Consider the following 23952-nt stretch of genomic DNA (forward strand, 5'->3'; position numbering starts at 1 on the left):
GGAAATAGTATTACTACCAAGAGTAGAAAATTTTTAAAACTTTGCTCTCTGAATGCATTTTATTACTAAAAATATTTATTTTTTAATATTTGACTGTATATAATATAGCAGACACTATATTAATCATATGAATAATACCATGTTTTAAAAATAAATTTAAATTGTAATTAATGTATCTTTTTGGGTTTTCTAATTAAATTTTAATTTGCTTTATTGATATTAATGTTATAATTAAAAAGTAAGTATTTTTCAAAGCAAATTATTGCCAGTATCTTTATATTGAGAGTTCACTTATAATTTAGGTTTCCTAGAGAATGGTTGTAAACAGAAATGAAGGTATACTATGTCCAATTGATAAACACTAGGATATTCCACCAGTGCCACTTATGAGAAAGCATCAATGGATTCATTTTCCCTCTATCTGTTCATTCCCCACCCAGCCTGATTCACACATGATTGTCACCCATTTGGCACCTGAGTGTGCAAATCCTAGTCTAGAGTTGACAAGAAAATAGAAGGGAGTATGAAAACTACAGTGTAAGAAAGACATCTTTGCTCAGCATTCTTTAAAATGCACTTCTTATCTTCAAAGGGAATTCAAGCTTACTTTATATTAATTATAATCACTACTTATTAAGCTCTATATTCCTGTCAATTTTTCCAACAAATATATGCAGTTAATGTCATTATTGATGTTTTACAAATGAAGGGATCTAGATATTTGATAATTAATGATCTGTCTGAGGATATTTAGTAATAATTACAACTGGAATTCAACACCAGATCTGTCTGACTGCACAGCCTGACAAAGTCTTATGCAACTACATTTTAGCTCCTGTGTTGAACTTATCCTCATTCCCCTCTGCAGCCTCCTTGGATTGTTTGGATTCTGTAAAGGGGGCATCCTTATGCCATTGTCTCTGCATGGGATCTTTCATTTCCATGTTCTAGCACTTATCACCATGAGTCACACTTGGTAGAAGGTCATTAAAAGATTTTAGAAGTAAATAATGACATTCTCTCCTGTCTTCATTTCATTAATACACACACACACACACACACACACACATTACTGAGGACTGAGGATCCTTATAAGCCTTTAAAATGTTGTGAAAGATTTAAAAGTTTAGCTAGAGAGAGGAAAAATAAAACAGGTGTTTTTGAAAAATGTGTATTCTGGGGGTTGTTTTGATGACATTTTAGATTTTCGAAGTTTTAAACAATGGAGAGCTTCGTTAAAAAAAAAGTAAAGATTAAACTAATTTTATTTTCTAATGATAAAAGTTATATTTCAAAATAATAATAATTATAAAATACAAAGCAGCAAAGGAAGCATTCATGTAATAACCCCTAAATAAAAAACAAAACTGTTTGAATTTTGTATTTATAACTGTCAGTATCATTGTCATACACATATGTCTACTTATGTATGCACATTAAACATAAAATCAATTTCGGTTCACGCTTACAGACATTAATCTAAATTTGTAAGACTGGATGTATGCCCAAATTATCAATCTTTGTGCATGTGTATATATATGCATATATAAATTTATATATGTTTAATATACATACACATATATGCATACATACATATATGTATATACATATATGTAGGTATATATGTATGTATGCATATATATGTGTATATGTAATTTTTAAAATACTGCATAAAACTGCCTTGAAATTAGAACATTTTGTAAGCATCGTATCTTATCAATCTTATCAATCTTATCAATCGGTAAATATCACCATAAGCATTTGTAATGAATGCACAGTGTTATAAAGTTTTGGATATATTGATTATTGTTTAGCATAATAAATACTTCAGTGTATGCTACATATGTTTTAATTGCTGTGATTTTTCCACTTACTTTATACTCTCTGTGTGTGTATATTTAAAAATGTTAGACTGTTAAAAATTAGTGGCTTGGCCGGGCGCAGTGGCTCACGCCTGAAATCCCACCATTTTGGGTGGCCGAGGCGGGCGGATCACCTGAAGTCAGGAGTTCGAGACCAGACTGGCTAACATGGCGAAACCCTGTCTCTACTAAAAATACAAAAATTAGCTGGGTGTGGTGGTGCACGCCTGTAGTCCTGGCTACGCGCGAGGGTGAGGCAGGAGAATCGCTTGAACCCGGGAGGCGGAGATTGCCAGCCTGGGGGACGAGAGTGAGACTTCGTCTCAAAAAAAAAAAGAAAAGAAAAAGAAAAAAAAATTTAGCGGCTCATGGCTCATGCCTGTAATCCCAGTATTTTGGGAGGCCGAGGCGGGCGGATCACGAGGTAGGGAGATCGAGACCATTCTGGCCAACATGGTGAAACCCTATCTCTACTAAAAATTAAAAAATAAAAAAAAATTAGCCAGGTGTGGTGGTGGGCACCTATAGTCCCAGCTACTCAACAGGCTGAGGCAGGAGAATCGCTTGAACCCAGGAAACGGAGGCTGCAGTGAGCTGAGATTGCACTGCTGCACTACAGCCTGGGTGACAGAATGAGACTCCGACTCAAAAAAAAAAAAAATTGAAGATATGAAATGTTCTAATTAGACCTACTTTAAGTTATTGTTTTATTTTAAAATGTTAGTATAAGTACTAACAATATAACATTTTATATTGTTATATTCCACTTGGTACAGGAAAGATGGAAATTATCTTTAAAATGGATGTGGGTGTGTGTACAGATTTTAAATCTTAACAAGGAATTATTTTGTATCTACAACACCAGGAAAAATTTCTGAATACAATGGAAGCACATTTCTTGCTGCCACAGTGAGGGTAACAGGCGGACGGAGTTTTCTGTGCTGGACATCCCACTCCCCATTTTGGTTACCCGCCTTCCATTCCTGTGCAGTCAGTAGTTTGGTTAGTTAAGTGTATATTTCCACTGAAACATGAATAAACATGAATAGATTATATTACCCTAATACACAATTAAAAAGCTACAAATTTCAGTAGAAATCAGCTTACACAATTTATTTTCTTGCCAAATAAATCTATTAATACTACACACAGCAGTATTCAAGCATTGACTCATTCTTTTTGAATATTTTTACATAATCCTGGGATAACATAAATTGTTCAAGTATAAAGTATTATGAAGTTACAGAGAAGAAGTATTTGAAAAGTTATGATGATATCATTTGACTAAGAGGCGCACAATTTATTAGTATTTCCACTTTAAAGAATATTACTTCTTCAATAATTGACTTAATGTCTTGTTCTACTTTATTATTTTATTATTGTATTCGCCACATTACAAAGACAATCTACACATAATTTCTAAAGGCCATTTTCATATTTTGCAAACATAGTTTTTACATATTATTATTATTATTTACATTTTATTCTAGTTGTTGGCATATCACACTGTCTTGTCATTCTCTCTAGTCATTAATATACTACCTCTTTTCTGTATTCTAATTTCTGATACAGATATTCTAATGTAAAATATAATATATTCTATATTCTAAATTGCTCCCACTTTCTTGCCTTATTTTTGAGCCGTGGTAGGAAATACACCATACATTTTATTATTTTAATAGTAGTAATGTTATGTAATAAACCATTCAAAGGATAGAGATGGTAACATTCACATATCAGTTAATAAGTTGATCTTTTCCAAGGTAAGTCAGGTATGTACTAAGGGAAACTAACAAAAACAAAAAATTATAATATAACAATTCCTCACAGGTAAATAATTCTGATGGTCTAGTAAACACTCTAGTGGGACAGAAAGTAGATCTCTGTGGGAGAAAACATCTCAATTCTGCAAACGCTCCCAAGGGTGGGTTAGCAGGACAAGACGTCTGTGCTTGGCTCAGAAGTTTGGCTCAATCACTACTTTCTATCCCGTGTTTTGCTCAACCACTACTTTCTATCCCGTGTTTTGCTCAACCACTACTTTCTATCATGAAGTGTTTACTTTCATAGCTGATCTTCAAGTTTCCTAGAAAGATGGTTCAGACTATTTTTCAGATTAAAAAAAAAAAAAACATTGCAGTTTACGAAGCTACATAGTACATTATTGAAGACAAGGGCCCACATAAAATATTAGTTGAATTTTAGAATTCTTTATAACAATTCATATGAATTAGCAAAAAGTAGATTTCCACAAAGTACTCAGTATAGATTTTTTAATTGATTAATAAAAATGTTTAGAGATCAGTTTTTTCCATCTGTATTTCCAGGCTATGCTGATTTTAGCTGAAGGCATATATGAGTAGGTTCAGAGATTCCTTAGCAGAGCCAGAAGGTATTTTGAAATGATTATAATAATGTAAGAAGTACATGGTTTCTGTACCTAACCTTGCTCAGATCACACATATGTTCTCAAATTTTCTTTTCTTTTTACATTTTAAGTGAGAAATATCTTGCTAGTAAATCTGTTCTTGTAGATGTGACTTTTGTTGATTTTCCAACTTTGTGTACTTTTTCTGTTTAAATGAACTGTTATTTCACACTAGTCAGTAGGATAAAAGGGAACCAAAAAAGGACAAAATAAAATAAGTCAGTGGCATGATTTATAAATGAAAATAGTCTGCATTACTTCTGCTGTAAGTGTATACCATAGAGAGTTAGCATGCTTAAGTTTCTCTACAAAGCTATTGGAAGGTAATTATTTTATTCAGCAAAAGCACTATTGAAGAAAGACTTTGTGTAATGTCCTTTATCCAAGCCTAATGTTCATTTTTATTAGGTTTTTAAAGTTTGTTTCCATGGCATATGACAGAGGAAATGCTTTCTCTGGAGACCTACTTTAAATTCTTATAAAATGTCATTGATTAAATTTTCTTAAAGTAAATGTTAGACTCTATCTGGAGTCTTGACTGAAAATGTTCAACACACATACTTTATCCTTTAGCGTTTGGATATTGCGCTTCCCTGTTCTCTTGAGTGCTAAAACAAATTGGATATAATATAATTTCAAAGTGCAAAAAATAAACCACAGAAAGTTACACTCTGCATTCTTGATAGATAATCATTTAGTATTGTTTGAACACAGGCTTTTGGTTTCTCTGAGTTAAAAAAATTTTAAAGGGAAATCTTTTCCAAACTGTTTACATAAGAAGTGTGGGATAATTTTGATAGCCAATTTTAAAAAGAAAAAATCTGTTTATATATGTTGTTTTATATGTGATGATTTCAGCATATCAAAATAGGATATTAGTATATATTAGCTCACTAAAAATAATCTGCATAAAATTCTGGGGACCTTGTGTTACCATCTATTGTTCTTCTCACTTTTATTATTTATTTATCATTGCAGATTAAAAAAATCAACAGAAACTTTCCTGTAAACCAGCAGGTAAGATCAAAGCATACTTGGAAAGCTAAATAATATATTTCTTTAATTTTATTGATTATAGAAGATAACGTTACCTGATTTCTAGACAGAAATAATTGGTACTGTCATTTACTATCTTCAGTGAGAAACATACATTTCAGATATCTCCTTCATATTATGTAATATATTGGTTCCTCTACTTATATTAAAAAGTACTTTAAAAATGTTTATCTAAGTCAAAAATTATTGTTTCTACAAAATAATTTATTTGAATACATTGTTGAAGAACTTAGAGTTTTATTTACATATGTTAGTTTTAGTATATCTTAACTTCTGGGAGACCTACTTTTAATTTATCTCAAAATTCAAATGAATTTTTCACAATTTGCTGACAGTATTTCAAACGAGTCTAAGTTAATGCATAGAACAAAAATAATTTTGATTATTCAGTTCTATAAACCTCTTACTCTTGATATCAACTTTGATTTGAAACCACTGACAAATCTAAATATCTATGATAGCTATTTATAAATGATACATAAATTACAAATTAATTTTAATGATAAAAATGTTTAAATGCTCTTCAACTTATAAAATGTAAGATATTTTTCTTATCTAAACCTCAGTTCCCCTATGTGCAACATTTGTGTAAGGGCGACTATCCTGTAAGTTTATTTTGAGGATTAAATAATAGCACATGTAAAGTTCTCAATCTATGCTATCATTATCATCAAAGTTTCTAAATGTTTACACTTGTTCTTTGGAATACAGAATTTATGTTTTGTAGAAATTGTATCATTAATGATGCTGCTAGCCCAAATCAGCCTCCAAAGCCATGTGTAACTAGAACACTGTAGAGAACAGCTTTGGAGAGTTAATTGTGTCTACAATGCTCTGATTAGTTCTTTTCAGCTCCAGAGGTCCCCTCCCTCCTACCTTAAGTCCCTCTGCCCTGAGCCAAGTTGATATCTTGGATAAATGCAGAGGTTGGAGAGATGTACGTGTCTTGCCACATGCTGCAGCAGCCTGTAGTTGTTTTTAAGGCCCTTACTTACAGTGTGGAAACCAGAGCTGTCACCAGCAGCTTCTGCTTACTTGCTCTGTAACAACACCTGGGATGTTCCCTTTGTTGCTCCCATGCTGTCCCAGGTGATTCTGGTATGGGTGTCATCTTGAGAACTGCAGATAAGTGTAGTTCAAGATAGGTGTCATCCTGAGAGCTACAGTTTAATGCTTTTACAGGGTTCCAGTAGAGGGAAAATGTCATTAATAAGAAATTACTCAAATAGAAGAAAGTATCAGCTATGAGGGAAGATTATAATGTCCATCAGTAGACAAGGCTGTTTTATAGTCAGATCTTTAAAAATGGAAATCTACTGTTTTGTAAGTTCCTCTCCAAAATAAAAAATGGTGAATTATTTTTTAATTTAAGAATGACTCTAGAGCTGTGTCGTCACCCTCTCATGCCCTTTCTAAACTCAACATGGGAGATATTAATATTGGTGTAATATATTACTACAGAGGTCATTCCGCTGATAGCCCCAAAGCTATTCTGTAATCAATGACAACTACAGCTAACACTTCTCATGTAGTCAGCTTGCTGACTGGGAGCACTTCTTGCCACCTTTGCTTATACCCAGGTTTAGAATAGTATTAAGTAAAATAAGTGAGAATTTGAATAAATCACACATAGAACAAGTAATAAAAACTTTAATATTCTAACACTATAATATTCTGACACATACTCATATGTAAGCATAGATGTTCATTAGTATTCATCATTTTTATTTGCTAGCCTGTTAATATTATTCATTATATAATAATTTCAAATCCAAAATTATATAATTCAAAACTATTTCAGATTTTATTTCAATTATCTTGGCAGCTCACAGTTTTGAAAATTGTAACAAATTCATCCTGATATTTAAGAAACCTGAAAAGAAGGGTTAATAGACTTTTTTCCTTACTACTTCCCATTGTGTACATGAAGAATTTTAAGAAATAGGATTAATTTATAGTTAAACATTTATATTATTGCATAATTAGGAAAACTCACTGCACAGTATGATAACAACGCATTAATTGACTAGAGTACATTTCCTATTTAGTAAAATCTGAGCCAGTTTTAAAAACACATATAATCCCATTTCTGATGATATCTACATTAAATAACTCCCTCATATTCCTGATGTTCTAGGTATCAAAACAGAAATTAAAAGTCACCCAAGCTACAATGAATCCGAAGTTCTCTGCTCCCTGAGATTTGATTTTCAATTTGTGCTACCCAGATGGTACCACTACCCTAACCAGAGAAATTAAAATGAAAGCAAAACATAGGGAGAAAGCCACTGCGGTCCAGCTGAGACAACCGCTAAGATTAGCTCCACATGAACTCTGCCACACTCCAGAATGCATAAGGCTTTCAGACACTGTGTCTGAAGAAGAGAGTTGGGCCCAAAATTATAAACCATATGAGGAAATAAACCATTATAAAGAAATGCATAATCTAGACACTAAAGAACTATCCAAAATATTTTTAATCATGATTTTTTAAATAAAGAAATCAAAATCATAAGACAAGAAGAGGACATGGTGCTAAAATTTGTAGTTGTAAAAAAAACCAAACAGGAGTTCAAAAATGAAAAAAAAACCTACATTTAAAATTAGTTAACCAACTAAATAATCTTAGTTATTGCCTCCACTTGAAATCATATTAGTGTATCTCCTACTTCACTTTTCATGAGGAGTAAGTTTTCCATTTTTTCTATGCATCTGGAACACATTCATGTGCTTTTGTTCTATTAAGATTCTGATTTGGTTCTTTTTTTTTTTTTTTTGAGAGACAGAGTCTCATTCTGTCACCCAGGCTGGAGTGCAGTGGCACAATCTTGGCTCACTGCAACCTCCGCCTCCCTGGTTCGAGCGATTCTCCTGCCTCAGCCTCCCAAGCAGCTGGGATTACAGGCATGCACCACCACGCCTGGATAATTTTTGTATTTTTAGTAGAAACAGGGATTCACCGTGTTGGCCAGCCTGGTCTCAAACTCCCGACCTTAAGTGATCTGCCTGCCTTGGCCTCCCGAAGTGCTGGGATTACAGGCATGAGCCACAACACCCAACCTGATTTGGTTCATTTTTACAGTGAACACACTGAAATTAAACTTGCCCTGGTAACTTTCTGTTGAAAAGATGAAAGGCGGGACAGTTGTCTTGCTGATGAACAAAACAGGGATAACTGAATGGAAGTCAAGTGATGTTGTGATAATTCTCTCAATGTATTAGAGGTAAAGGCATATAGGCCCAGACAACCAGGCCTACATCACACTACTATATGTACCTAGACCATTAGGTTATAATTTATTATGTGTGTCATTTTTACTCATTTTTAACTGAAATTTCTTCATCCTGAAATATATCTCATTCCTCCCACAAAAATATCATTTTTCAATAAGTTTCTTCTATAATTACCTGGGAGTAACATTATAAAGTATTAATTTGTCATTAAAATATTAATATAGTGAGCTTTATATTAGGCAGTATACAAAATAATATAATCAAATTATTTATATTAGTTTAAATTAATAAGGTTATACTTATTTAAAATAACATATTAGCTCTGGTAGCTATTCCTATAGAAATATTGACATTTGACGAACCATAATAATTTGGACACATTATTATAGATGTGTACATACCATACATAGAATGTTGGCAGCTGGAATTAAAAGTGACTAGAGTCACTAGTCATGCTGGGGAGAATTAGGGAATTACAGGACACTTTAAAAATCTATTTCTGTAGTGGTATCAGAAAAGAAAGAAAAGTAGGATAAATTTTGTCAGTTTTGCTTCTCTATAAAAGCAACAGAAAAATGGCAAAAATAGAATCAACTTTTAACAAATATGGAAATTCACAAAGGCTCACTGAACCCAGGGAGCATTTATTCAAGAAAAACAGCTGAGTCTTGGTAAGAACAGTAAGCTTTGTGGCATTATAACTGGACCTGGTCCCAACCCCTCTCTTTTCTCTGGCAATATGTTGGCTTACATAATAATGATGCATACCCTAAAATTTATAATCTAATCAGTTGTATATTTAATTCATGAAATTTTAGCTTTATTGAAGATGTGTGTGTGTGTGTGTGTGTGTGTGTGTGTGTGTGTATTTAGACAAAATATTCTATTAATGAAACTGACAATTGGTCTTTATTTTTGGGGAATGTCAAAAATCTATTTTTTTCAATTTGAGAAAGAAACTCTCCTAGTTCTTTATACATTCAATTTATTAATGTTAAAAACACATTATAGAGTCACACAATCTGAAGATAATGAGCCTGTTTTTGTTCTGGTCTATTTCATAACACTTGGTGATAAAATATGCTGGCACTTTATGATCTAAAGGAGAATCCACCTCAAAAAAAGTAATGTGTCTGTATAAATTAACTCTTGGAAAATCAACCAGCTCATAAATCATTTGATAACAAACATGATGGATATTTCCCAGGAAAAAGAGGTGTAAATGTTATTTTAAGTTAAACTAAAGGAGCCCACACCTAATTATGTAAAAATTTATGTATTACAGTTAAAATAAAATATACACTTCAGAAGACTTGGAAAAGTGTTATTCAAATAATAGAAAGTTGTATATGTGTGTGTGTTGAATTTATACACATAAGTACCTGGGTTTCATTATTGAAAGAACTGTCTTAATTCTCATTGGCTTTCTTTTCTAAATATATAGATTTTCAAAATCCTGAGGGAGCGGGGAACAAATGTAGCAAAATTGTCTTGTTTTACATTTTCCAGATTGTTATATAAATGGGATCATACTGTATGTATGAATTTTTGTGGCTTCTTTCATACAGCATAATTCTTTTTAATATTGCTCATTTAGCAGCGTGCATCAATCCATCATTCTTTCTAATGCTGGGTAGTATTTTATCGGTGGCTCTACTACCATTTGTGTATTGTGTATTATCCCATTAATGCACATTTGCTTCATTTTAAGTTTTAGTGTATTACAGATAAAGCTGATATAAATATTTATGAAAAGTCTTTGTCTTGACATATGTTTTTATTATATTTGGGTAAAATCCTAGTAGTGTAATAACTCAATATTATGGTTGTGTATTTTGAACATTTTAAGAAACTGCAGAACTGTTTTCCGAAGGGTTTTACATTTCACATTGACACTAGCAGGGTAAAGATAATCTCGTAGATATCCCTATGGTCAGGCTTTTAATTTTTGGACATTCTAATAGATGTGTCATGATCTGTTAAATTTTAATTTACATTTCTCTATAGAATAATGATGTTGAGCATCTTTTCATGTGCTTATTTGACATCTGTATATATTCTTTTGTGAATTATCTCTTCAAATGTTGCCCAAGGACAGAATTTTTTAAATTTGATGAATTCCAATTCACTGTATTTTAATGAGTCATGCTTTTGAAATTGTATTTAGTAAATATCTGCCTAACACAGGAAATAAATTTTCAACTATTTTTTATCCTAGGTTTTTTACAGTATTCTTTTTATTTTTAATCTATGATTTATTTTTATTTAACACTTGTTTCAAAAGTGAGGTATAGATTAAAGCTATTTTTAAGGGGAGGTACAATAGTTCCAGCATATGTGTTGAAAGTATTATTCTTTCTTCACTGTATTATTATTCCTCTACCAAAATACAAATTGATCACATACATGTGGGCCTATTTCTGGACTCCAAATGCTGTTGCCTTGGTCTATTTGTATCTCATGACACAAATACAAAACCGTCTTGAATACTGTAGTACTACGATGTCTAACATGAGTAGTGTAAGTCCCCTAGCTTTGTAATTATTTGCTGTTGTTGATAAAACTTCTAATATTTTTTATTAATGTTTTTATATAATTGAAACATAATAATTGTACACATGTTTGGGGGACAGTGTAATATTTCAAATCATATATACACTGTATAATGAGTCAATCAGAGTAATTGCCAAATCCATCACTTTAAACATTTATCATTTATTTTGGTAGTAACATTCAAAATCTCCTCTAGCTATGCTGAAGTTTACACTACATGGTTATTTGCTGTAGTTACCCTACTGTGTAATAGAACATCAGAACTTACTCTTCCTGTGTAACTGTAACTTTGTACCCACAGGCGAACCTCTCCCAATCTCCCCTCACTCTTCCCCTCCCTAGCCTCTGGTAACCACTATTGTACTCTCTACTTGTATGAGATCAACTTTTTTTTCGATAACACTGATGATTGAGATCATGTGATGTTTGTCTTTCTATGCATGGGTCATTTTACTTAACATAATGTCTTCCAAGTTCATTCATGTTGCTGTGAATGACAAGATTTCATTCCCTTGTATAGCTGCAGAGAATATATACATATATATATACACACACATATATATACATATATACACGTATATATACACATATATATACATATATACACGTATATATACACATATACATGTATATATACACATATATACATATATACATATATACATATATACATATATACATATATATATGCCACATGTTCTTTATTCATTCATCTGTATATGAACATTTAAGTTGATACCATATCTCAGCTATTTTGAATAGTGTTGCTTATTGGGAGTGCAGCTATCTCTTTGACATACTGATTTCATGGTCTTTTGAGTGTATACTCAGTAATGGATTGCTGGATCATGTGGTAATTCAATTTTGATTTTTTGAGGAACCACCATACTGTTTTCCATAATGGGTGTACCAATTTACATTCCCAACAACAGTACAAAAGAGTTGCCCTTTCTTCACATCCTTTCCAACATTTGTTATTTTTTTTGTCTTGTTTTTTGATAATAGTCATTTGAACTGGTGTGAGGTGATACCTCATTTTGGTTTTGATTTGTATTTCACTAATGATTAGTGATTTTGAGCATTTTTAAATGTAAATGTTGGCCATTTGTATGTATTCTTTTGAGAAATGTCTATTCAGATCTTTTGCCCATTTTAAAATCCAATTACATGGTTTCTTGCTATTGAGTTTTTTGAGCTTCTTATATATTACGGTTATTAATATCTTGTCTGTGAGTTGTCTCTTCACTTTGTTGGTTATTTCCTTTGATGAGCAGAAGTTTTTTGTTTGTTCGTTTGTTTGTTTTTGTTTTTTGTTTTTTTTTAGTTTGATGCAATCCCATTTGTCTATTTTTGCTATTGTCACCTGTGCTTTTGAAGTCTTATTTTAAAAACTCCTTGCCCAGCCCAATTTCATGAAGCAATTTCCCTATGCTTTCTTCAAGTGCTTCCATAGTTTCAGGTCTTACTTAAAGTTCAAGTCTTACTTAAATTTAAGTCTTTAAGACATTTTGATTTGATTTTTGTGTGTGGTGAGAGATAGGGGTCTAGTTTCATTTTTCTGAGTATAGACATGCAGTTTTCCCAACATTGTTATTGAAAAAACTGTTCTTTCCCTAATATGTGTTCTTGACACTTTTGTTGGCTATAAGTGTATTGATTTATTCTTAGGTTTTCTTTTCTGTTCCATTGGTTTATGTATCTGTTTTTATGCCAGAACCATACATTTTATTTACTATATCTTTGTAGTATACTTTTAAAGTCATGTCGTGTGATGCCTTAACTTTGTTCTTTGTGTTCAAGATGGCTTTGACTACTGGGAGTCTTTTACATTTCCATATGAATTTGAACATTGCTTTAAAAAATCTGTGAAAATGGCATTGTCATTTGATAAGGATTTCATTAAATATGTAGATGGCTTTGGTTAATATTGACATTTTAATAATATTAATTATCCCAATCCATGAACACAGACTACCTTTCTATTTGTTTGGATTCCCTCCAATTTCTTTCATCAATGCTTTATAGTTTTTATTATAGAGATCTTTCATTTTTCTGGCTAAGTTTATTCTTAAGTATTTCTCTGTGGCCATTGTAAATGAAATTGCTTCCTAATTTTTTTATGATAGGTTGCTATTGGTGTAGGGAAATACTACTAATTCTATGTTGATTGCATATTCTGCAAATTTACTAAAGTCATTCATTAGTTATAACAACTTTTTGGAGTCTTTAAGGTTTTCTACATCTATGGTAGGTGTGTATATTTATTGGGTGCAAGAGGTACTTTAATATAGGCATGCAATGCATAATAATCACATCATGGAAAATGGAGTGTTTATCCTCCATCCAGTTTTCCCAGCACCATTGATTGAAGAGACTGTCATTTCCGCCAATGTATATTCTTGGTACACTTGTTGGAAATGAATTCACTGTAGGTGTATAAACTTGTTTCTGGGTTCTCTATTCTGTTCCAATGATCTGTGTGTCTGTTTTTAACAGTACCATGCCATTTTTCTTACTATATCTCTATAGTATAATTAGAAATGAAGTAATGTGATTCCTCTAGTTTTCTTCTTTTTGCTCAGGATAGCTTTGTTTATTCTGGATATTTTGTGGTTCCAAATAAATTTTAGGATTGTTTTTCTATTTATGTAAAGAATGTCATTGGCATTTTGTTAGGAATTGCATTGAGTCTGTAGATTGCTTTGGGTAGTATGGACATTTTAATAATATTGATTCTTCAAATCCATGAATATAAAATGTCTTTCTTTTTTTGCATCCTTTTTAATTTCTTTCACCAATGTTTTATAGTTTTCTTTGAGGTGATCTTTCATTTCTTTGTTATTTGTGACTATTACAAATGGGGTTACAGTTTTGATTTCATTTTCAGATTGTTCACTGTTGGCATTTAGAAATCCCACTGATTTTTGTATGTTGATTTTAAATCCTACAGCCTTAATGAATTTGTTTATCAGTTCTAATAGTTTTTTGGTGTCTTTGGATTTTTCCAAACAAGGATAATTTGACTTCTTCTTTTCCAATTTCGATGCTGTTTATTTCTTTCTCTTCTTTGATTGCTCTAGCTAGGACTTCCAGTACTATTTTGAGTAACAGTTGGGAAAGTGGGCTTGTCATGATCCAGACAAAGATGCTTTCAAGAAAGGCTTTCAGTTTTTCTCTATTCATTATAATACTACCTTGGGTCTGTAATACATGGATTTTATCATGTTGAGATATGTTCCTTGTATTCCCGGTATTTTTTAATCATGAAGGGATATTGAATTTTATCAAATGTTTTTACAGCATCAATTGAAATGATCATATGGTTGTTGTTCCTCATTCTGTTGACATGATGTGTCACATTGATTGATTTGTGTATGTTAAACCATTGTTGAATCTCTGTGATAAATCCCACTTGGTCATGATGAATGATCTTTTTAGTGTGTTGAATTTGCGTTGACAGTATTTTGTTGAGGATTTTTGCATCAGTTTTCATCAGAAATATTGGCCTGTAATTTTTTTTTTCAGATATGCCTTTGTCTGATTTTGGTATGAGGGAAAACTGTCCTTATAGAATAAGTTTGGAAGTATTCACTTCTCCATTTTTTGGAAGAGTTTAAGTAGGATTGGTATTAGTTCTTTAAATGTTTGATAGAATTTAGCAGTGAAGCCATTGGGTCCTCAGATTTTCTTTACTGGGAGACTCATTAGAGCTCCAATCTCCTTCTTTGTGATTGGTATGGTTTGGTATTGGATTCTTCCTGATTCAATCTTGGTAAGTTGTATATGTCTACGAATTTACCTATTTCCTTTGGATTTTCCAATTTATTGCCATATATTTTTGCTCATAATAGCAAATATATAAATTTCTATTGAATTTATGTGGTATCAGTTGTAATTAGAAATTCATCTCTAATTTTATTTATTTGGTTCTTCTTTCTTTTTTTCTTAGTTTTGGTAAAGGTTTGTCAATATTATTTATCTGTTTAAAAAACAACTTTTCACTTTGTTATCTTTTGTATTGTTTTATTTGTTTATTTGTATATAATTTATTTCTGCTCTGATCTTTATTCTATTTTTTTTTCCTTCTACTAATATTGGGTTTGGTTTGCTGTTGCTTGTCTAGTTCTTTAAGGCATATTAGGCTAGCTGGGCACGGTGGCTCACTCCTGTAATCCTAGGACTTTGGGAGGCCAAGGTGGGCAGATTATGAGGTCAAGAGATTGAGACCATCCTGGCCAACATGGTGAAACCCCATCTCTACTGAAAATACAAGAAACATTAGTTGGGCATGGTGGCATGCACCTGTAGTCCCAGCTGCTTGGGAGAATCGCTTGAACCTGGGAGGTGGAGGTTTCAGTGAGCCGAGATCGCGTCACTTCACTCCAGCCTGGTGACAGAGCCAGCGAGACAAAAAAAAAAAAAAAAAAAAAAAAAAAAAAAAGACATGTTAGGCTATTAAGCTATTTCTTTGAAGGCTTTTTGTTTGTTTGGCTTTGTTTTTTATGTAGGCACTTATAGCTATAAATTTTCCTCTTAGCTCTGCTTTTGCTGCATCCCATAGGTTTTATTATGTTGTGTTTCCATTACCATTTGTTTCAAGAGGTTTTTCAATTTCCCTCTTAATTTCTTCATTGACCAACTGGTCATTCAGGAGCATGTGCTTAATTTCCATGTGTTTGTATGGCTTCTAAAATTCCTCTTGTTATTTATTTCTAATTTCATTCCATTGCAGTCAGAGAAAATGCTTGAGATGATTTTAATTTTTTCAGTATTTTCAGACATGTTTTGTTAGCTGACATATGGTATCTCCTTTAGAATAATCTATGTGCTGAGGAGAAGAATGTTTATTCTGAAGCTGTTGGATGAAATATTCTGTAAATATTTATTAGGTTCATTTGTTCTAAAGTGCAAGATTAAATATGATTTTCTTTGTTGATTTTCTTTCTGGAAGATTTGTCCAGTGCTGAAAGTTGGGTGTTGAAGTGTGTAGCTATTCTTGTATTGAGATCTGTCTCTCTTTTTTACTTTAATAATATTTACTTTCTATATCTGGGTGCTTTGGTACTGGGTGCATATGTAATTGCTATATCCTCTTGATGAATTTAACTTTTTATCATTATATAGTAACTTTCTTTGTCTCCTCTTGTAGTTTTTGTCTTGAAATATATTTTGTCTGGTATAAGTATAGCTACTTCTGCTATTTTTTGTTTCAATTAGCATGGAATATCTTTCATTATTCCTTTATTTTCAGTCTTTGTGTATCTTCAGAGGTGAAGTGTGTTTACATTAAGCAACAGATAATTGAGTCTTCTTTTTTTAATCCATTCTGCCACTCTATGTCTTTTGATTGAGAGGTTAGTCTATTTACATTCAATGTTATTATTGATAAGTAAGGACTTACTCTTATTTTGCTATTTGTTTTCTTGTTGTTTTGTGGTCTTCTCATTCTTATTTCCTTTCATCTAGTCTTCCTTTTAGTTAACATGATTTTATCTGGTGGTATGATTTAAATTCTTTTTTATATTATTTGTGTATCCATTGTATGGTTTTCAATTTGAGGTTGCCATGAGGATTGATAGAGTATCTTAAAACTCGTAATTTTAAACTAATGACAACTTAAAAATTGTTGCATAAACCAAAACTAATATAAACTCTACACTTTAACTTCTTCCTCCAACTTTTTAACTTGTTGTTTCTCTTTATGTCTTATAGTACTGTTTGTCTTGAAAAGTTGTAGTTATTATTTTTGATTGGTTTATCATTTAGTCTTTCTACTTAAGATGAATAGTTTACACACCACAATTACAGTGTTATAATAGTTTGTGTTTTTCTGTTTGCTTACTATTACTAGTGAGTTTTGTACTTTCAGGTGATTTTTTCTTGTTCATTAACATCATTTTCTTTCATGTCGACAAACTGCTTATAGCATTTCTTGTAGGACAGGTCTGGTGTTGATGAAATCCCTAAGCTTTTGTTTGTCTGGGAAGGTCTTTATTTCTTCCTCATGCTTAATGCATATTTTCACTGGATATACTATTCTAATGTAATAGTTATTTTCCTTCATCGCTTTAAACATGCTGTGCTAGCCTCTACTGGCCTGTCAGGTTTCCACTGAAAAGTCAGCTGCCAGATGTATTGGAGCTCCACTGTAAGGTATTTTTTTTTTTTTTTTTCAGTTCTCTTGCTGGTTTTAGAGTTCTTTCATTTTCTCTGGCCTTTGGAAGTTTGATTGTTAAATGCCTTGAGATTGTCTTCTTTAGATGAAGTCCACTTGGTGCTTTATAACCTTCTTGTACTTGAATGTTATCTTTCTCTATGTTTTGGAAGTTCTCTATTATTATTTCTTTGAATAAACTTTCCACTCTTATCTCTTTCTCTACCTTCTCTTTCAGACCAATAACTTTTAGATTTGCCTTTTCAAGGCTATTTTCTTGATCTTGTGAATGTGCTTGATTAATTTGTTTTTCCATTGTCTCTTCTGTGATTTTCAAATAACCTGTCATCAAGGTCACTAATTCTCTTTTCTGCTCCACAGTTCTGCTATTAAGACACTCTGATGCATTCTTCAGTAGGTCAGTTGCATTTTTCAACTCTAGAATTTCTGCTTGATTCTTTTAAACCATTTCAATCACTTTGTGAAATTTATTTGATAGAATTCTAAATTCCTTCTCTGTGTTGTCTTAAATCGCTTTGAGTTTCTTCAAACCAGCTACTTTGAATTTTCTTTGTGAAAGGTCATACATCTGTATTTCTCCAGGACTTGTCCTTAGTGTCTTATTTATTTTTTTTGGAGAAGTTATGTTTTCCTGGATAGTCTTGATGCTTATGGAGGTTTGTCAGCATCTGGGCATTGAAAATTTGGATATTTATTGTAGTCCTCACAGTCTAGGCTTGTTAGTACCTTTCTTTCTTGGGGAGGCTTTCCAGCTATTCGATGCAACTTGGACCCCAAGACCAATAACAGTGATTCTTGCAGACTCATAGGTGTGCTGACTTGGTGGCCTTGGATAAGATCAGAAGAATTATCTGGTTTTCAGAAAGACATTTTTGTTCTCTTCTCTTACTTTTTTCCCAAAAAGAAGACTCCCTCTCTGTGCTGATCAGCTTAGAACTGGAGGATGGGTGATGCAAGACCCCTGTGGCCACCATCATTAGGACTGCACTGGGTCAAACCCGAAGCCAGCAGAGCACTGAGTCTAGCTCAAGGCCAGCTGTGATCACTACCTGGCTACCACCTAGGTTCACTCAAAGCCCTAGGGCTCTACAGTCAGCAAGTGAGGAAGCCAGCAAGGGTAATGTCTTGTACTTCAGGGCAGTGAGTACCTCCATGACCCAGAAGGGTTCAGACATGTTTTCTAGGGGCCAGGGACTAGAGTCAAAAACCTTAGAAATCTACTGGGTACAGAGGCTCATGCCTGTAATCCTAGCACTTTGGGAGGCTGAGGCAGGCAGATCACTTTAGCTCAGGAGTTTGAGATCATCCTGGGCACTTGATGAAACTCATCTGTACTTAAAAATACAAAAATTAGCTGGGCATGATGGCACATGCCTGTAGTCCCAGCTACAGGGGGCTGAGGTGGGAGGATCACTTGAGCCCAGCAGGTGGAGGTTGCAGTGAGCCAAGATCACACCACTGCACTTCAGCCTAGATGACAGAGGAAGACCCTCTTTCAAAAAAGAAAGAAAAAAAAAAAGAAAACCTTAGAAATATACCTGGTGTTCTATTCTGCATGGCTAAGATGGACCTCAAACTACAAGGCAATGCCCTTTCCACTTTTCCCTCCCCTTTTTACAGGCAGGGGAGTTCTGCCAGGCTACCACCAATATTCACTTAAAGTCCAAGGGCTCTTCAGTGTGCTTGTGGTGAATGCTGCCAGGCCTTGGAGTCATTCTTCAGGGCAGTGGGCTCCCTTCTACTACAGGACAGGTTCAGAAATGTCCAAGAGTCTAGGCCTGGATTTAGCCACCACAATAGCCTGCTTGGTGCTCTACCCCATTGTGGCTGAGCTGGTTTCTAGGGTGTGAGACAAAGTCCCCTTCATTTTTTCCTCGCTTTTCTCAAGCAAAAGGATTCTTTCACCCTAGTCACAACAGCTGGAAATGTACTAGGTCTCACCTGAAGCCAGCATGTCTTAGGGTGTCACCAAAGGCCATGGCATACGAACAAGGTATCCCTGCAGGTTATTCAGGGCCCAAAGGTTCTTTAGTCAGCAGGTGATGAATTGTCCCCAGACTGGGTCCCTCCCTTCAAGGCAGTGGGTTTCCTTCTGGCCCAAGGTGTATCTAGAAATGTCTAGGAGCTAGAGCCTGGAATGTGGCCTCACAACTCTGCCCTGTGCCCTGTCCTATTATGACTGAGCTGATATGCAAGATTTAAGACAAAGTCCTGTTTACTCTTCCTGCTCCTGTCTTGAAGCAGAATGAAGGAGTCACTTTCATTTCTGTGAGCTGCACAGCCTGAGGTTAGGGGAGGGGTGGTGCAAGCCCTCCCTTAGCTGCCTTGGCTGGTATCTCCCTAGGTCAGGTGTTTCCCTGTTCCACTGGCTCTAAGCCCAGCCTAGCACTAGGAATTCCATAGGAATGTCAGTCCTTGTGGCTTAGACTGCCTTTCAACTTTACTTAGGATGCTGGAGCATTTTAGACTGCAGTGGTGAGGCTTGCCAAAACTCAAGTTCTGATATCTGGGATGGGTAATTCCTTTCTGGCTGCTCCGAATGCTCCTTCCATGGGCAGGAACCAGCTGAGCAACAGTCTTTGGTCTTTATTGTGACAGTGCAGCAAAACAGTTCAATGGCAAGCCCGCCAGTCGCTGTGCTAGTCTTCCCCCAAGTGCACAGATTCTCTCTTCACACCATGAAGCCACTGCTAGAGGATGGGGGAGGGGTGGTCTCAGTGATTCAAAATTTTCTTTTCTATCCTCTTCAGTACTTTCTCAACAATATGAAGTTAAAGCCAGGTACTGTTATTGTTCACCTGATTTTTGGTTCTTTCAATCGTGCTATTTGATGTGTGGTTGTTGGTTAAAATTTGGTGCTTCTGTTGGGGAGAGGGGATTATCCACGGAGGCTTTTATTCAGCCATCTTGCTCTGACCTAACTGAAAAAAATAAAATAACACAAAAATAAAATAAAAACATCTGTCATATTTTTGTCCTTGATTCTATTTATGTGATATATTATGTCTGTTGATTGGTATATGTTGAACCATGTTTGCATCCCTTTGGTGAATCCCACTTGATCATGGTGAGTGATCTTTTTGATGTGTATTTGAATTTCCTTTGCTAGTATTTTGTTGAGAGTTTTTGCATTGGTGTTCATCATAGCTATTAGCCTGTAGTTTTCTTTTCTTTGTTGTTGTTGTGTCCTTGTTTTTATTCGAAGTAATTTTGTCTACTCTGGAATCTTGCTCTTTCTAAACAGAAAGTTAGAAACACGTGAACAACTTGTAGACTTATTCAAGAGTAGTTGGGTATTTTTGAAATTGCATTGAATCTTTATATTTAGGAAAGTTGACATATTATGAATATTGAGTCTTGAGATCCATGAAGATAGGTTAGCTCTCTACCTTTCTTAGAACTTTAAAAATTTCTCTTAGAAACCATTCTAGTTTCCAGTGTATACATATCATGCATACTTTATCAGATTTATTCCTAAGTACCTCATATTTTTAATGTTAATATAAATGACAAATTTTTGATTTTTATATTGATTTAGTTTCCTGCATTATTTCTAAAATGACTTCTAAGATGTAGGAACAATAGACAATTATGTTATCTACATAAATATAAATATTTTGAATTCTTTATTTCATTTTGGATACATTTTATTTCTTTTTAATAATTCATGGCACTGTGAGATTCTCCAGTATAATGCAGAATGTAACTGATAAACACATACCTTGTATCTGATCATAGGGGAAATCATTAAATATTTCAACATTAAATATGTTAATAGCTAGATGTTTTTCATAAATGTTCTTTAGCATGTTGATGAAATACCTTTCTGTTACTAGTTTGTTAAAAATTTTAATCAGAATAAATGTTCAACTGTGTTAAATGCCTTTTCTGTGACTATTAATAAATATACTGTGCCTTATGCCTTTTTTTTATTTCTATCAATATGCTATGTTCTATTAATGTATTGTTAGATATGAAACCAAGTTTGAATTTTGCGAATATATCCCAGTTAATCATAATGTTTTTATCCTTTTTATTTATTGTTGGACTCAATTTTCTAAAATAAGAAAATTTAAGAAATTTTTCAACTGTGTTTCTGAGAGACATTGATATGCAGATTTCTCTGCTTTTAACGTCTCTCAAAAAAATCAAATTCGATATGTTACATTTTATTTACATTGCCCTTCAAGATCGTTTCTAACTTATTTTTTACTTTTTATTTTACATGTGAATATTTGGAAGTATTATTTAATTTTCATATATTTGGGAATGTATATGATCTGGTATCAGAGTAATGGTAGCTTTGTAGATTGAATGAGAAAGCATTTACGCTTCCTAAATTTTCTGGAGAAGTTTGTGTAGGATGGGTTTTATTTATTCATTATCTGGCAAAAATCTCCCAGTTAAGCTATCTAGTCCTGGAATTTGATTTATATGTAGGGTTTTAACTATTTTTTTTTTGTTCTTTTAAAAGTACAGAGCTATTCAAGTTATCAAATTTATTTTTGAGTAAGCTTTGGTATTTTGTGTCTTTCTAGGAATTCATGCATTTCATTTTACTTATTTAAGTCATTGGTATATATTTATTTGTAATATTCTCTTATAATACTTTAACGTTTCTTCTTGCTTTTCAATTTTGGTAATCTGTGACTTTTTATTCTTTCCCTCTCTCTTTTTTGTAATTTATCAGTCAACATAAAGCCTTATCAATTTTGTTGATTTTTCCAAAGAACCACATTTGATTTCTGTGACTTCTTCGTTGTCTTTCTTTCTTTATTTTTTACTGTTTTTCATTCCAATATTTATTTATGGATATTTATTATTTTCTTCCTTCTTTTGGCTTTCTGTTTAATTTACTCTTCTTTTTTAGCTTATTGAAATGTAACATAAGTTTTACATCTTTCAGCCTAACATATGTTTTAAAGGTATGAATTTTTTCTGAAATAATGCTTTACTGCATCTCATTGAATTTGATGTTATACTTTCCCTTATAAACTCATTCATGGTAGTTTCTTAATTTGCCTGTAATTTATTTCTTCTACACTTGTCTATTTAGAAGAGTGGTGTTGTTTAATTTTCACGTTTTTGGAGCTCCCCTATTTTATTTATTTTTTAAGTATTTCTAATTTAATTATGTTTTTAGTCAGAGAACATATTTCACGTGATTACAAATCTTTCAATTTTACTGGCATCCATGTTACTTTTCCTGGATCATGTTGCAGGGATTTTTATAAAACATGGATATGTACTCTGCTATTTTGGAATCAATAGTATTTTTCAAATGTCAAGTATGTCAAACTGACTGATAGTTTTGTTCAGGTTTTCTATATTTCTATTGACTATTCAGTTAGTTTTTCTATCAATTATTATGAGAGTAATACGTAAATCTCCAACTCTCATTTAAAAATTTTTTTTCTTTGAATTTTGTCTTATTTTGTTTCATTATATATTGTGTTTCTGTTGTTAGGTACTTATATATTTATAACTGTTATGTATTCAAAATATATTGACATTTGTGTCATCATGAAATGTCGTTCTTTTTCTGTATAATATTTCTTGGCTTAAAATCTATTTTCTATGATGTCAATATTGCTTTTCCATCTCTCTTATGGTTGCTATTTTCTTGGCATATTATTTTCTAATCTTTTAGCTTCAATCTGTTTTCCAATGGTAAATCAAATGCACATTTGTTCCAGTCAGAATAAACTTGGGTTATGTGTGTTTTTTTAAATTCAGACTGACAATATCTACCATTTGATTAAGGTGTTTCAGTCAATCACATTTGAAATAATTATGGATATGCTTAGATGTATGCCTGCAATTCTGCTATTTTTTCTAGATGTTTTATGTCTTTTTAATTTTCTATTTCTTTTTACTGCCTAAGTTATATTAAAGAGATAGCTTCAATGTAGTGCTTTAATTTGTCTGTTGATTTTTTAACTATATATTTTGATTTTTGAAAAAGATTGCTCTTGGGAATCACATATGCATCTTTAAGTGATCATAATCCACTTCAATTTTATACTGATTTAATTTTGGAATTATATAAATATTTTGCTGCATTGCAGTATAGATCTATTTCAAACTATTGTTTTTCATATTACATGCATGTATAAACTCAACAGTCCAGGATTATTCATGTTTTAAGCAATCTCATTCTTTAAGTTATTAAAACAGAAAAGTTCCTTTTTTAATAAAAATAAGTAACAGCTTAATTATCCTTTTCTTTCCTGTGAATACAAGTTACTGCCTGGCATTAGTTTTCGTTTCTCACACTGTCGGACTTCGTTAAGTATTTCATGTGGGGAATATTTTGTAGCTGTGAATTCTCTCACTTCTTGTTTATCTGGTAAAGTATTTTGTTGTTGCTTCTGAAGGATAGTTTTATTAGAAATTGAAATCTTTGTTGACCTTTTTTGTTTGTATCATTCAACACTTTAAATGTCACTCCAGTCTTCTGGCATTCATTTTCTGATATAAAGTTAGCTGTTACACATATTGATACTTTCCTATATTTGATAAATGTTTTTTTGCTTTCAGTATTTTCTTTTATCTTTGTCTTCCAGAAGTTTAATATTCCTAGCTGTACATCTCTTTGTGTTTATTCCACTTGAGACTTCTTGAATTTCTTGAATCTCCAGATT

At 32.8% G+C, this 23952-nt stretch overlaps 1 protein-coding gene across 19 annotated transcripts in view, besides 1 other annotated feature; it reads left to right on the top strand.

Moving 5' to 3' along the window:
* Window positions 1–23952, top strand: part of SNTG1 (syntrophin gamma 1) — an 886897-nt gene that overhangs the window by 675815 nt on the left and 187130 nt on the right. For 18 of the 19 annotated variants that reach the window (NR_135796.2, NR_135795.2, NR_135797.2 and 15 more), the window contains one exon: window positions 5269–5307. Coding sequence is in view for 13 of the 19 variants with exons in the window: in NM_001287813.3 (NP_001274742.1) it covers window positions 5269–5307 (39 nt within the window). In the remaining 6 variants the exon portion in view is untranslated. Of the gene's footprint in view, window positions 1–5268; window positions 5308–23952 lie in introns of those variants that run through there. The other variant, XM_047421898.1, reaches the window with a different exon arrangement.
* Window positions 19499–19793: a silencer, noted in NCBI's record as "tiled region #15467; HepG2 Repressive non-DNase unmatched - State 24:Quies, and K562 Repressive non-DNase unmatched - State 24:Quies". NCBI's record gives its function as "represses a minimal TATA promoter and a strong SV40 promoter by Sharpr-MPRA in HepG2 and K562 cells {active_cell/tissue: HepG2 | K562}" and the evidence as "EXISTENCE:reporter gene assay evidence [ECO:0000049][PMID:27701403]".

This window comes from Homo sapiens, chromosome 8, assembly GCF_000001405.40.
Source record: "Homo sapiens chromosome 8, GRCh38.p14 Primary Assembly".
Taxonomy (NCBI): Eukaryota; Metazoa; Chordata; class Mammalia; order Primates; family Hominidae; genus Homo; species Homo sapiens.